This window comes from Homo sapiens, chromosome 2 (genome assembly GCF_000001405.40).
Source record: "Homo sapiens chromosome 2, GRCh38.p14 Primary Assembly".
Classification (NCBI taxonomy): Eukaryota; Metazoa; Chordata; class Mammalia; order Primates; family Hominidae; genus Homo; species Homo sapiens.
The window spans coordinates 61,060,847-61,075,501 of NC_000002.12; the positions used below are offsets into that span (position 1 = coordinate 61,060,847).

General features: G+C 41.6%; 1 protein-coding gene across 7 annotated transcripts in view, besides 6 other annotated features; it reads left to right on the forward strand.

Annotated features, from left to right (window-relative positions):
• Window positions 4,805–5,174: a silencer, noted in NCBI's record as "silent region_11522". NCBI's record gives its function as "represses an Ori minimal core promoter by ATAC-STARR-seq in GM12878 lymphoblastoid cells {active_cell/tissue: GM12878}" and the evidence as "EXISTENCE:reporter gene assay evidence [ECO:0000049][PMID:35858748]".
• Window positions 4,805–5,915: a biological region, named in NCBI's record as "H3K27ac hESC enhancers GRCh37_chr2:61292895-61293396 and GRCh37_chr2:61293397-61293896".
• Window positions 4,914–5,415: an enhancer, noted in NCBI's record as "H3K27ac hESC enhancer chr2:61292895-61293396 (GRCh37/hg19 assembly coordinates)". NCBI's record gives its function as "activates a minimal SCP1, AML or CMV promoter by ChIP-STARR-seq in primed H9 embryonic stem cells {active_cell/tissue: H9 hESC(primed)}" and the evidence as "EXISTENCE:reporter gene assay evidence [ECO:0000049][PMID:30033119]".
• Window positions 5,025–14,655, forward strand: part of SANBR (SANT and BTB domain regulator of CSR) — a 72,162-nt gene continuing 62,531 nt past the window's right edge. For 3 of the 7 annotated variants that reach the window (NM_001330433.2, NM_001129993.3, NM_001330434.2), the window contains exons 1-5: window positions 5,025–5,181; window positions 8,003–8,139; window positions 9,496–9,654; window positions 10,760–10,946; window positions 12,612–12,705. In NM_001330433.2, the coding sequence (NP_001317362.1) occupies window positions 9,505–9,654; window positions 10,760–10,946; window positions 12,612–12,705 (431 nt within the window). In that variant the 5' untranslated portion in view covers window positions 5,025–5,181; window positions 8,003–8,139; window positions 9,496–9,504. Of the gene's footprint in view, window positions 5,182–5,362; window positions 5,613–8,002; window positions 8,140–9,495; window positions 9,655–10,759; window positions 10,947–12,611; window positions 12,706–14,655 lie in introns of those variants that run through there. The other 4 variants (NM_032506.4, NM_001330436.2, NM_001330435.2 and 1 more) reach the window with 3 other exon arrangements.
• Window positions 5,205–5,554: a silencer, noted in NCBI's record as "silent region_11523". NCBI's record gives its function as "represses an Ori minimal core promoter by ATAC-STARR-seq in GM12878 lymphoblastoid cells {active_cell/tissue: GM12878}" and the evidence as "EXISTENCE:reporter gene assay evidence [ECO:0000049][PMID:35858748]".
• Window positions 5,416–5,915: an enhancer, noted in NCBI's record as "H3K27ac hESC enhancer chr2:61293397-61293896 (GRCh37/hg19 assembly coordinates)". NCBI's record gives its function as "activates a minimal SCP1, AML or CMV promoter by ChIP-STARR-seq in primed H9 embryonic stem cells {active_cell/tissue: H9 hESC(primed)}" and the evidence as "EXISTENCE:reporter gene assay evidence [ECO:0000049][PMID:30033119]".
• Window positions 5,565–5,624: a silencer, noted in NCBI's record as "silent region_11524". NCBI's record gives its function as "represses an Ori minimal core promoter by ATAC-STARR-seq in GM12878 lymphoblastoid cells {active_cell/tissue: GM12878}" and the evidence as "EXISTENCE:reporter gene assay evidence [ECO:0000049][PMID:35858748]".

Consider the following 14,655-nt stretch of genomic DNA (forward strand, 5'->3'; position numbering starts at 1 on the left):
ATAATTTAAAAGTGAAACTCTCGCACATTTTGTTTGGCTACACAGCTGCTCAGAGTCTACATCTTCTTTTTCTTTTTTTTTTTTGAGATGGAGTTTCACTCTTGTTGCCCAGGCTGGAGCTCAATGGCGCGATCTCGGCTCACTGCAACCTCCGCCTACCGGGTTCAAGCGATTCCCCCGCCTCAGCTTCCCAAGTAGCTGGGATTACAGGCATGCACCACCACGCCCAGCTAATTTTGTATTTTTAGTAGAGACGGGGTTTCTCCATGTTGGTCAGGCTGGTGTCGAACTCCTGACCTCAGGTGATCTGCCCGCCTCGGCCTCCCAAAGTGCTAGGATTACAGGCATGAACGACCACGCCCAGCCAGAGTCTGCATTTTCTAGCCACCTCATTTGTAGTTAAGTTCTAGCCAATGGGATGTAAGTGAAAGTGATGCATGTGACTTTGAGATCATGTCCTTAAAAGTACTGGGGCTTGCAACAGGTATATGAAAAAATGCTCAACATCACTAATCATCAGGGGAATGCAAATTAAAGCCACAACGAGACATCATCTCATACCTGTTAAAGTGGCCATAATAAAGACAAAAGATAAGAGTTGGCGAGGGTATGGAGAAAAGGGAAGTCTTGCACATTGTTGGTGGGAATGTAAATCAGTTCAGCCATCATGGAAAACAGTTATGGAGATTCCTAAAGAAAATAAAAAATAGAACAACCATATCATCCAGCAGTCCCATTACTGGGTATAAATACAAGGGAAATGAAATCAGTAATCAAAGAGATAGCTACATTCTTGTGTTCATTGCAGGATTATTCACAATAGCCAAGATAAGGAATCAATCTAAGTGTCCATCAATTGGTGAATGGATTAAGAAAATGTGATATATATACATAAGGGAATACTATTCAGCCTTCAAAAAAGAAGGAAATCTTGTCATTTTTGGCTACGTGAATGAACCTGGAGGATATTATGTTAAGTGAAATAAGCCAGGCACAGAAAGACAAATACCACATGATCTCATAAGTGGAATCTAAAAAGTTAAAGTCAGAGAGTAGAATGGCAGCTACCAGGAGATGGGGGGTGGGGGGAATTGGGAGTTATTGGTCACGGCATACAAAATTTTAGGAATAAAGTTCAACACATCTATTGTAGAACATGGAGACTATAGTTAATAACAATGCAGTGCCTGTAGTCCCAGCTATTAGGAAGGCTGAGGCAGGAGGATCACTTGAGCCCAGGAGTTCCAGGCTGCAGTGACCCCTGGTCACACCACTGCACTCCAGCCTGGCTACAGAGTGAGACCCTGACTCCAAAAACAAACAACAATGTGTACTTGAAAATTGCGAAGAGAGATTTTAAGTGTTTTCACAAGTATGTGAGGTCATGCATATGTTAATCAACTTGATTTAGCCATTTCACTATACATATTTTGAACAGTATGTTGTACGCCATAAATATATACAATTTTTGTCAATTTTAAAAATAGATTTTTAAAAACTACTGGAGCATGCATTTCCCTTGCCCTGCCTCTCCTTCTGTTGAGGTAGGAGTGAGAATTCTGCAGCCATTTCAGACACTGAGAGACAAGTTGTCTGTCAAGTTTGACAAAGCAGCTGTATCGGCTGTGGACCACTCACCTCTGTAATTTGAGAAATAAACTTTTATTGTGTTTAAGCCACTGTGTTTTGGGTCTTTTTATTAAAACAACTTAGACTGTACTGAAACTAATAGAGGAATAGATGAGCTTCTGAACACAAAATGGTTAGACTTGGTGAAAAGGGGGAATTGGATGAAAGCCTTAGGTGAAATTGCCCATTCTGCATAAAGGGCCTCAAGGAGGAACATCTGTACAATGGGGAAGAAAGATTTTTTCCTTGGCCAAAAGTCACTGAACCTAATGAGTTGGCCATTTGGCCTTGGACAAGTCACTTAAACTTTCTCTGTATTTGAGACTTAAATTGGAAAAAATTGAAGAAGTTGGCCTCTCAAGGATCCTTTCTAGCTATCATTTCATAAATGTATGTTGTTCTAGAAAAGGGAATGAGAAAGCTTGAGACAGTAAGTATCCAAATTGATCCTGAGATGCTTACTAGTAAATAGGTCAACAACAGGAGTAGAGCAGATGTTATGGAGTGGGTCCAGTACAGTTTTATTATCTTCAGTCTCTGTTTACAAACTAGTGTTTGTTTGTTGAAACAGGGTCTTGCTCTGTCACTCAGGCTAGATTGCAGTGGCATAATTGCAGCTCATTGCAGCTCACTGCAGCCCCAGCCTCCCAGGCTCAAATGATTCTCCTGCTTCAGCCTCCCGAGTAACTGGACTACAGGCACACGCCACCACACCTGGTTAATTTTTGTATTTTCTGTAGCAACAGGGTTTCACCACGTTGTCCAGGCTAGCAAACTGGTTAACTGACTTAGTGTCTTTTTGTTGAACCTTGCTAAAAGCAAGGAATGGTAGCCAACACAAACTCACATTCTGGCCTTTTCTAGATGCTTTCCTCAGAGCTATATATGGGCTTGATGATCTGCCTTCCAAGTTAATATGGGTGACATTTTTCCCCAATACATTTGGGAACAGTCACTAGCCTTCTGGCCTGCAATATGTTTCCACCTGCTAACCAATGCCATATATATCTTAGATCTTTGTTATGGTAGGTGGCACACCACTTTCAGGAACCAACTTTCTCTTCTAGGGAATACACTAAGCCACTGTAACAAAGAGACTAAAAAATACAGTAGTTAAGATAAACATTTTTCTCTCATGGAACAGACCAGAGGTACTCTGCTTCAGAAGGTAATTCAGGGCCCAGGTTCCTGCTATATTGTGTTCTACAGTCCCTTATGTGTTATTCTTTGTTTGTCGTTTTTGAGATGGAATCTCGCTCTGTAGCCCAGGCTGGAGTGCAGTGGCACCATCTCGGCTCACTGCAACCTCTGCCTCTCAGGTTCAAGTGATTTTCCCCCATCAGCCTTGGAGTAGCTGGTATTACAGGCACCCGCCACCACGCCTGACTAATATTTGTATTTTTAGTAGACATGAGGTTTCACCAGTCTGGTCTCGAACTCCTAACCTCAAGTGATCCTCCTGCCTCAGCCTCCCAAAGTTCTGGGATTACAGCGTGAGCTAACTATGCCCAGCCCCTTATGCATTATTCTTGTTTTCATGGTTGTAAAGTACCACCATCACAACTAAGTACCAGCCTATATGAAAGAAGAAAGAGGGGAAGTAGAGGGCAAGCAGTTTCTGTTTAAGAATTTACCTGGCTGGGGCTGGGTGTGGTGGCTCACACCTGTAATCCCAGCACTTTGGGAGGCTGAGGTGGGCAGATCACCTGAGGTCAGGAGTTCAAGACCAGCCTGGCTAACATGGTGAAACCCCATTTCTACTAAAAACACAAAAATTAGCCGGGTGTGGTGGCACACGCCTGTAATCCCAGCTACTCGGGAGGCTGAGGCAGGAGAATCACTTGAACCAGGGAGGCGGAGGTTGCAGTGAGCCAAGATCGCGCCATTGCACTCCAGCCTGGGTGACAAGACCGAAACTCTGTCTCCAAAAAAAAAATAATAATAATTTACCTGGCTGGGCATGGTGGCTCACGCCTGTAATCCCAGCACTTTGGGAGGCCGAGGCGGGCAGATCACCTGAGGTCAGGAGTTCAAGACCAACATGGTGAAACCCCATCTCTACTAAAAATACAAAAAATTAGCTGGACATGGTGGCATGCGCCTGTAAATCCCAGTTACTCAGGAGGCTGTGGTAGGAGAATCGCTTGAAGGGAGGTGGAGGTTGCAGTGAGCCCAGACGGTGCCACTGCACTCCAGCCTGGGCAACAGAGCAAGACTCCATCTCAAAAAAATAAAAAAAGAATTTACCTGACTTAACCTAACATCTTATGATACGACACTTGCCTAACTTTATTTTTATTTTTATTTTTGACAGGGTCTCACTCTGTTGCCCAGCTTGGAGTGCAGTGGTGCAAACATAGCTCATTGGGGCCACCACGCCCAGCTAACTTAAAAAAAAAACAACTTTTTTTTTTTTTTGGTAGAGACAGGGTTTCACTTTGTTGTTCAGGCTGTGCTCAAGCAATCCTCTCGTCTTGGTCTCCCTAAATGCTGGGATTATGGGATTACAGGTGTGAGCCACCGCACCCAGCCACTTTAATGTCTTTGTGGAACAAAAATCGTAAAAGATCTGCAGAAAGTCACAGGATGATACAATTGGTAAAAACTCCTGACATTCTGTACAGTGAACCACTTAATCTCTACTTAATCATCAGATCTCGTAGTAATTATTCATTTGGTTAAGGCTTTACTTTTTCTGTTCTTTCTAATCCTAACATTTAATTTTGGTTCTCAGAATAGACCAAGTGGAAATTAGATAGAAATGTTGACATGTAGCAGTTACCCTACAATATTGAGCCGTTTGCATTTTACTAGATGCCCAATAGTAGTGTTCCTCACAATAACACACACACACACACACACACACACACACACACACCCTATTAATGTATGAAAACCGAATTTGTAATCCAGAGCTATTTACATTTTTAAAGAGCTACCTCCTGGTAAAGACACTTCAGGTCCTTACCCAAAGACCTTGGTCTAAAAGATACTTTCGGTGTCCCTCATCATGCGATCTTTCCGCTCTACCTAAGCGGTGTACCAAATGATCTGCACCAAGAACAATTTCATCCATTCTTTAATCTTTTATCTCCTGTATATCCCCCTTTCTTCTGGACTCAGGGTTGGTCACCTAAGATCAGGCTCCTAGGATCTGGTTGCTAAGAGACAAGACGCTGGGAGGGTGGGGACGCTGCACTGCGACAAGCCTGGGAGTGTATGCCAGAGGAGGAAGGAGAAGCAGCAGGCAAGGCAAGGCGACAGTCAGCCGCCGCCGCCCCTCCGGTGCCCTCCCGCCCGGCAGGGGCTCGGCGCTCATTGGCTCCGCCGCTGCGGCGCTGGCCCGCGATTGGCCGGGCGGCGTCGGCTCGGCGGCTCCCCCACCCCTCGGCGCTAGTCTCCGCAGCCGCCTGCAAGCGGGCGGGGGCGGGGTGTGAGGCGCTGCGGACGGGGTTGCGGGCTCGGTAGCGGCAGCTTCAGGGCGCGAGCGCGGGCGGTGCCGACCACTGCAGGTAACAGAGGCGCTGCGAGGGCAGCCGCGGCCCTGTGGAGGTGAGCGAGACGCCGAGGGGGCTCGGGTGCCCACCGCGGGGCGGGAAGTGCGGCATGGGGCGGTACCGCTCACAGCCAGCCGGCTCCCGCCGCGGCTTCCCACCCCGGGCGGGGTCCCACTTGCCCAAACGCCCCCGAACGCCCCCGTGCACAGCCTCAGCCGGCCGCGCCTCGAGCAGCCAGCTGGCCCGCGTCCCGTCACCCGCCCGGTCCATGTCCCTGCAGACCGTCCCGCCCGCGCACAGCGGCGGGAACCCCAGCTTCTGCGCGCCCGGCCGCGCCCCGGGCCTCTGCCCCGCCTCGCTCCCGCTGCCCGGCGCCTTTGTCCGCTCTGCGCCCCTGGAGTTTCTGTGCCTCCACGGGCGGGAGCGGGGCGCGAAGGTCTGGGGGTGCCCCGAGGACGCGCCGCGTAGTGAGCCTCCGGGCCCAAGGTTTGACTGGCTTTGACCTCATGCCGGTTCTGGGATGTGATTTTACTTTCTCCTCCAGCTGACTCCGATCTCCTGTGTGTGCAGAAGTCAGGAAGCCTGGGTACAAGGCTTCTTCCCGGTCCGGGATGACTCGGTGTTACCGCCGCCCTCTGTTAGGCCAGAGGCCTTTGACCTGCCTGCCTGCCTGCCCCACGGGGCCCCCTCTCTTCCCATCTTTCCACTGGCTAAGGGAAAACGTCTCTGTCTCCAAGAGCTTTTTTTTCTATTTGAAATAAGAAAAAAATATATCAGATTCCTGTTGTAGACCTCTATCTGGTGTGGAAGTGACTTAGACTAGTCTTCTTAATTAATACATGTATATTAAATACATAAACCAAGAGAAGGGGGTCGGGGAGGGGAGGGGAAGTATGTTCTTAAAAAATGAAGTCTGTTAAACATATTGGATTTTTATTTTTGGTAAATAACGTATTTTACCTTAAATATTGTCAAGATTTTGATATTTTATGAATGGGAGTGGATTTCATAGTAATTTGAACTTTGAGCTTTTTCTTGTCACCGTTTTTGATAAATTTATACTTTCCTGAATGAGGTGCACTATAACAGCTATTTCGAGATAATTTATGTTTTATTAAGGATTATCCATCAATGCTATGCCTTTTATACTTAAATTCAGACTCTGATTTCTTGGACATTCATTTAACTAGAATTAATGCTGGGGGGTCTTCCCTTGCCTAGTACAGTTGTATAAAGAGAAAGTCAACAGAAAAACTTTTTTCTCATTTGGATGATTTAAAGTACTCTTAAACATGTATAGCATAAATTAGTATCACATTTGAAATGTAAGCTTTTAAGTGTTTGACGTGGGTAATATTTTTGAACTTTTAAATGAATCTTTTTGGAAGTGAAGAGAAATGAGCTCTCAGGGAAGATCCTTGCCCTGAATTCCATTTTAGATTGCTTTCTACCAAGGCCCAAACAAATTATAATAAAACGCCCTGGCCGGGTGCAGTGGCTCACGCCTGTAATCCCAGCACTTTGGGAGGCCGAGACGGGCGGATCACGAGGTCAGGAGATCGAGACTATCCTGGCCAACATGGTGAAACCCTGTCTCTACTAAAAATACAAAAATTAGCTGGGCGTGGTGGTGCGTGCCTGTAGTCCCAGCTACTCGGGAGGCTGAGGCAGGAGAATCGCTTGAACCCGGGAGGCGGAGGTTGCAGTGAGCCGAGATCGCGCCACTGCACTCTGGCCTGATGAGAGAGGGAGCGCCACTCCGTCTTAACAACAACAACAACAACAACGCACTATGTGCTCTAACATGCTTCCCAAATTGTGTGGTATGAAAAGTGATGCAAGTACTAGGCAAACAAGTAGAGATCAGTGCTTTGTTCTCTAGAGAGAAAGCAAGTCTTTCAAGGATTCAAAACTAAATTGATTAATCCAGCAGGACATGATCCCCATCCATCTTTGCACATCCCCATCTATACTTAAATGTTTAAATGAGTTGTGGACCTGCAGTTTGGAGTGAATTCCAAAGGATACATTAAATGTCTCTTAAGGTTTTGTGACCTTCTCGTTAATTCAGTAAACATTTTGGCAGTATCTGCCTTGCTGGTCACACTTTTGGGGAATCAAAGATAGAAGGCCCAGCCCATCAAAGAAATCATAATCCAGCGAGTTAAAGAGAGAAATAAACAGAAATTTCTCAGGGCCCTTCCAAGGTTCTTCCAAGACTTTTTTCAAGTCTTCTTTCCCCATGTTTTCATCAAACTCAGCCTGGGACATGCAAAAGGGCATTACTTTTCAGATTCACTCACTTTTTTCATCTTACTTTGAGATGACCAACTCTTTAAAAAACAATGAAGTTCTGTAAAATATGTTTCCAACTGGGCACAAGGCAGTGCTTTACAGTTATTAAACTAATTCTTGGAAATTTTTGTGCCAATAATGGCCAAAGTGGAGAGGAGAAAAATAATAGTAATAATTTATTTATTTTATGAGCACCTTTTGTATGCCAGACAGTGTGCGGGTGCTTTATACATAGTATTATTTAATCCTCACCGTAACTCCAAAGGTTAGGTATTGTTTTCCTTACAGTATAGCTGAGACCATTGGAGCCATAGGTTGCACACTGCTAGAAGTGGTAAAGCTGGGTAAGAATCTGTAGCTGACTCTTTCTAGTCATTTTGTTGGTGGCATACTTCATTGGAATGTTACTGTCTCTCCTTTTATCTGTCACATTAATCTTTTTGAATCTGTTTAATCTGAGGATCTCTGGAGTGGTAGTGCTGCTACACACATTATGTAGTCCTCACTCTTTGCCAGGTAGCACTTTCCATATATCCTCAGAAGTATGTAAGCTAGCTACTATTATTATCTTTGTTTTACAGATGAGGAAATTGAGGCACAGAGATTAACTAATCTGAACCAGATAATGCCATAAGTAGTAGAACTGCGATGCAAACTTGGACAGTCTGACTCCAGAGTCTGCACACTTAACCACTCCACTATTCTGGCCTTCTACAAGGTACATCTTTGGTTGGTAGGAAGCTGTGATTTTAGTGTGCTAAATGTTTTTCTGTTTTTGTTTCCTTTTAATGTTCATTCAAATACATGTAGGATAACTTTATGTTGTCTACCAGCTGATGTCCTCTACCAGTGTCTTATGTAAACAATGACATAGTACTAATTATAATTAACATTTATTGAGAGCGTACCACATTCACGACCCCTGTGCTGTGTTTTAAATATTCCACATAACCCTCAGCACAATCTAAATACTATTATTTATGCAGCATCTCATTTGTGAGATACTTATATCATCTTCAAAGTGCTTTCACAAAATAATCCCTTTATTTCTTTCCACGCTGTCAGTCAGAGGTATGACCATCACCTACTTGTGTTGCTGCATTTCAGCAAGGTTCGATGACTTGCCTTGGCTAGCAGGTAGTAGAGCCAAAACTCAAATCAGAGATTCAGACTCCTGTGTACGCTGCCTTTTCCATTGTACTGGTCTGTCAGCGAATCTCTGCTTTGTACTCTCGTCCTAAAATAGATCATTTTTGTCCATAGGAGCAGTTTATGTTTGGAGATTGTATTCCCAACCCAGAATCAAGTGTCAGCTGAATCATAGATATAACTAGTCAAAACTTTTGTCATTATTTTCATCTGTAAATTAATGTTCCCACTTTAGATGCAGTGCCTGGCACACAGTGATGGCTCAGTAAATGTTTGAATAAAGTAAGAAGTATCTCGTACACATTGATATAAAAAAGTTCCTCAAATGTTTTATGTTTGAATGCATAGTTTCTTTTCTATTTGATATCATAACCCTCTCCCCACACCTCACAAACAGAAGCTTTCAAAATTACTTAATTGAATCATAACTAACTTCAAAATATATTAGACTCTGTCCCTACTGACCCTAAACCATTATTTTCAATCTGCTGTCTTAGCCCATAGTATACGTCTTGTGTGGAATGGAAAGAGCATGGATTTGAGAATCATTTTTACTTGGTTTGAATCCTTGCTCTGCCTCTTCTTAGCGCTGTGATCTTGTAAAAATTACTTAACAACTCTGAACCTCATCTTGTAAAATTGGGGACTCTGTCTCTAAAGAAAAAAAGATAAAAAATATTTTAGGCTTTTTATCGTATATTTATTCATCTCTTCATCTTTTTATACATCCATTTATCAATGCATAATATTCAAATCCTTTTTTGTGAAGAGATTTAGGCTATACTATGTTTATTTTAGGTCAGTTTTACTTTTCCTTTACATGGTAGCAGATAATTATTAGGAATGAATTATAACTGATCTGTAATGTTCTGAAAACATTTGGATTTCGGGTTTAAATAAAGCTTTTTGTCTTCCCTATCCCTAGTTCCAAAAGATGAGTCGTGGATATTCAGAAAACAACAATTTCCTGAACAATAATAACCAAATGGTATTGGACATGATCCTTTATCCATTAATTGGAATCCCTCAGACTATCAACTGGGAAACTATAGCAAGGCTCGTGCCTGGATTAACACCAAAAGAGGTAAATAACAGTCCCCCCAGAATATCTCCTGAAAATGTTCAGAAAAGGTCATCAATTTAAAGAAACACCAAGAGAGAGAAAAATATTTGAGTTTTACATATTCAAATGCATGTATTAACACTGAATAGACATCTATATAATTTGACTAGATGCAAATTACATAAATTTTATATATTATATATAGTATATAAATTTTATATATTATATATAGTATATATATTTATATATAATATTTTATATATAAATATATATTTTATATTATATATATATTTGTTGTTGTTTTTGTTTTTTTGAGGCAGGATCTCTCTATCATCCCAGGCTGGAGTGCAGTGGTGCCATCATGGCTCACTGCAGCCTCGACCTTTGAAGCTTAAGTGATCTTCCCACCTCAGCATCTCACAGTCTCTCTCAGAGTCTCACTACGTTGCCCAGGCTGGTCTTGAACTCCTGACCTCAAGCGATCTTTCTGCCACTTCCTCCCAAAGTGCTGAGATTACAGGCATGATCCACCATACCCAGCCTGGTCTTCCTTGTTTTACAAGAGCATAAATATATATGCCTTTGAGTTAAAGCACATTAAAACTCTACCCTGAATTTTAAAATATAAAAATAGAAGTTAGAGGCTTTTGCATAGTGAAATGTATACAAATATTCTAGATGTTACTCTGCAGGTTAATATTTGCTTACAAAAAGTAATTGTTGAAAAATATCTTCAAATAGAAGGCAAGAAAATACCTTCTCAATTTTTTATTTAAAAAATTCCCAAACCGCTGGGCATGGTGGCTCACGCCTGTAATCCCAGCACTTTGGGAAGCCGAGGCAGGCAGATCACGAGGTCAGGAGTTCAAGACCAGCCTGACCAATATAGTGAAACCCCGTCTCTAGTAAAAATCCAAAAAATTTGCTGGGCATGGTGGCAGGCACCTGTAATCCCAGCTACTCAGGAGGCTGAGGCAGGAGAATTGCTTGAACCCGGGAGGCGGAGGTTGCAGTGAGCCAAGATCACACCACTGCACTCCAGCCTGGGCGACAATGTGAGACTCCGTCTCAAAAAAAAAAAAAAAAATTCCCAAACCTCTGTTTCTTTCATTTTATATTATGACAGTGTGCAAAAAGGTTTGATGAATTAAAGAGCAGTGGAAGCTCGCCTGTTGACAACCAGTATAATTCCCTAATGGCTGCTGGAGAGAGTCCTGTTGAAACTTTAGCCACATATATCAAATCCTCACTTCTTGACATACATGGAGAATTTCAGGAGACTCCAGTTGGACATGATGCAGTTTCCAAAACTGGTAAGGTTTTAAACTAAAATGTAGTACTTGCCCTTATGAAAATTCTGCAGAATATTATATATTCCAATCAACTTTTCTTTCTTTGTTTAAAGGCTAATATAAACATTAATAGAGAAATGTATTCATATTTGTATCTTCCTGAATTTTGTTGTTTTTTCTTTTTGAGACAAGGTCTTGTTCTGTTGCCCAGGCTGGAGTACAGTGGCACCATCTCAGCTCACTGCAACCTCCATCTCCCAGGCTCAAGAGATCCTCCTGCCTCAGCCTCCCGAGTAGCTGGGACTAGAGACGTGCACCACCGTGCTTGGCTAATTTTTGTATTTTTTTGTAGAGACCAGGTTTTGCTGTGTTGCCCAGGCTGGTCTGGAACTCCTGAGCTCAGGCCATCCGTCCGCCTCAGCTTCCCAAAGTGTTGGGATTACAGACGTGAGCTACTGCACCTGGCCTGAATTTTTAAAATCATGTTTATCTTTGCTATTTTTTAAAAAAAGTTTTAGGGCCAGATGCAGTGGCTCACATCAGTAATCCCAGTACTTTAGGAGGTCAAGGTGGAAGGATCACTTGAGGCCAGGAGTTCAAGACCAACCTGGGCAACATAGCAAGACCCTGTCTCTACAAAAAAATAAAAAATAAAAATTAGCTTGGTGGATGGTGCACACCTGTGATCCTAGCTACTTGGAAGGCTGAGGTAAGAGGCTTGCTTAAGCCCAGGAGGTGAAGGTTACAGTCAGCTTTGATCAAGCCACTGCTCTTCAGCCTAGGTGTCTGAGCAAGACACTGTCTGTAAAAAAATTTAAACATTTTTAAAAATAAATTTTTAAATGCTAAAATATAGGTCAAATACAATCACCAAAAAAACCCACTTTACTGTATCAAAATGTTCTACTCTAATCTACTGGCCTAGTTAATTTCATGTATTTTTTTTTTTAACTACGAATATTCTTTTACTTTATTTTAGAGGGGTTTGCCCTGTGCCCTTTACTTAATATTCCTTTTTCCTGAGAGACTCTTGCTTGTCTCTCATGTTACTTTTTTTTTTTTTTTTTTTTTTTTTTTTTATACAGGTACTCTTTTTGTTTTTGGAGATGGTGGTTGCGCTGTGTTGCTCAGGCTGGTCTTGAACTCCTGAGCTCAAGCAATCCTCCTGCCGCAGCCTCCTGAGCAGCTGGAACTACACGTACATGCTACTGTGCTGAGCCTACAGCCACTCTTTATTATAGTCAACAAGAGCTTCAACTGACACAGTAGTGGGGTAAAAGATGTTTTCTGCAATTACATTGGAAATAATAACTGGTTTTAGAAATCCTCTGAGTGTAGCGAGTTATTTTAATCTCAGCAGCGGCAGAGTATTGATGTAAAAATTTGCTTCAGAAAGAGAAAACTATGCTGTTGGCATTTGAACATTTGATCCCTGTTTGTACACACCACATTAGTATTTTTTGAAATCCTTATTCTAACATTAGCAATTTATGATTCATTTTTGTACTGTTTCTTCCATATATCTTTAGAAATACTAAAGGAAAATGCCACCCTGATAAGTACCATCTTTAGCCTTGGAAACCATGCATTTACAGTATTACCATTCAATAAATAAAAACCCATTCTCAGCTAGAAACACTAACCCCCACCTTTTTTTTTTTGTATGTGTTTGTTTCTGTATTTAAGGAAGACATAGTATAGCTTCCACAAGGAATTGTTCTTCAGAAAGTGAAAATTGTACTACTCATAATGGTGGAGAAATGACTGAAGAATCTGAAGGGTAGGCGGCTGGTTGTTTGCTAGATAAGATTAAATATTAATATCAACTTCATAAAATATATGATTGGTGGTTACCATAAGGTAGGAATTTCATATTGCATAATTGCTGAAACTACTGGAATCAGCTTAGTTCATGTGTTGAACTGACCGAAACATGACTTATTCATGTTATTATTTATAAATTGGATTACAGTTTTCTATTTAAAGATTTTTATTTTTATATTTATAAATATTAGAAGTAATATCTCTTAACACAAAACTTTAAAAAGTGAATTTTAATACCCAAGGAAAAAAACTGTATGCCATTAATTCTCCGACTTTACTAAAGAAATTGGATGTGTATTTTAGGACTATTTGAACATAATAACTCATTATAGAAAATTTTAGAATTAAAATGTCTTTCAGTGTATTGCAAGTTTTGATAGTTTTGTATAGTTTTGTATTGTTTTGCCTATTTTTACAATAAACTGAATATTGTTAAGTGTTCACTTTGATGAGTTTTGAAAAATGGATGTACCATATAACCATCACCCAAATCAAGACACAGAATATTTTTATTATTTCTGAAAGTTCCTTTGTATACTTACTTTTCATGGATTTTTATGAAAATCTTACTTTTTATAGATTTTCAAGAACAGCTTGCTTTATATATAATTCATATGTCATAAAATGAACCCTTTGAAAAAGCTCTGGAGGTTGATGATTGTGCTGATTGCACAACAGTGTGAATATACTTAATGCCACTGAACTTAAAAGTGGTTAAAGTGGTAAATTTTACTTTTTGTATATTTAACCACAGTTTTAAAAATTCACCCTTTTAAAGTGTGTAGTTCAGTTATTTTTAGTTTATTGACACAGTCTTGGAGGTTTTCTTTTGAGACAAAGTCTCACGCTGTCACCCAAGCTGGAGGGCAGTGGCTCCATCTCAGCTCTCTGCAACTTCTGCCTCCTAGGCTCAGGCAATTCTCATGCCTCAGCCACCTGATTAACTGGGACTACAGGTGTGTGCCACCGTGCCCATTTTTGTATTTTTAGTAGAGATGGACTTTCGCCATGGTGGCCGGCCTGGTCTTGAACTCCTGGCCTCAAGTGATCCTCCTGCCTTGGCCTCCCAAAGTGCTGGGATTACAGGTGTGATCCACCGCATCTGGCCATATTCACACAGGTTTTTAACTGATTGGTTGGTTTGTGTGACACAAAAATTTGCCAAAAATTTTTTACTGAAATAATCTAATATTTTATACTCTAGTCTAAAAAACTATGGAAACTCTGTTTCGTTAGTTCAATTATTACCTGTTTATATTTTGACCATAATTTCTTTGGAAGAGCAATTTTGTGAAAATTTGTTTAAATTCTTTTGACTTTGATAGAGCATTGATTATAATCCTTTTTCTGGTAGCCCAATTTTATTTAATTCTTTTTTTTTTTTTAGAGACGTGGTCTCACTGTGTTGCCCAGTCTGGTCCTGAACTCCTGGGCTCAAGCAGTCCTCCCACTTCAGACTCCCAAGGTGCTGGGATTACAGTTGTGAGCCACCGTGCCTGGACCTCCAATAATGTACTTTTTTTTGTATCAGGAATGTGTGAATTAAACACACAATTCAATTAAATTCATGTTGTAGGACAGTGTGTCTCTCTCTGTTCTCTTCCTTTTGTAATGACATGAAGACAGATGTAGATCACACTGATGTTTCTTTTTGAGGTGATACAATTTTTTGTTGTTTTTGAGACGGAGTCTCACTCTGTTGCCCAGGATGGTGTGCAGTGATGTTATCACGACTCACTGGAGCTTGACCTCCCTGGGTTCAGGTGATCCTCCCACTTGAGCCTCCTGAGTAGCTGGGACCACGGGCATGCACCACCATGCCGGCTAATTTTTAAAATTTTTCTGTAGAGATAGGGTTTCACCGGGTTACCCAGGCTGGTCTGAAACTCCTGGGCTCAAGCAATCC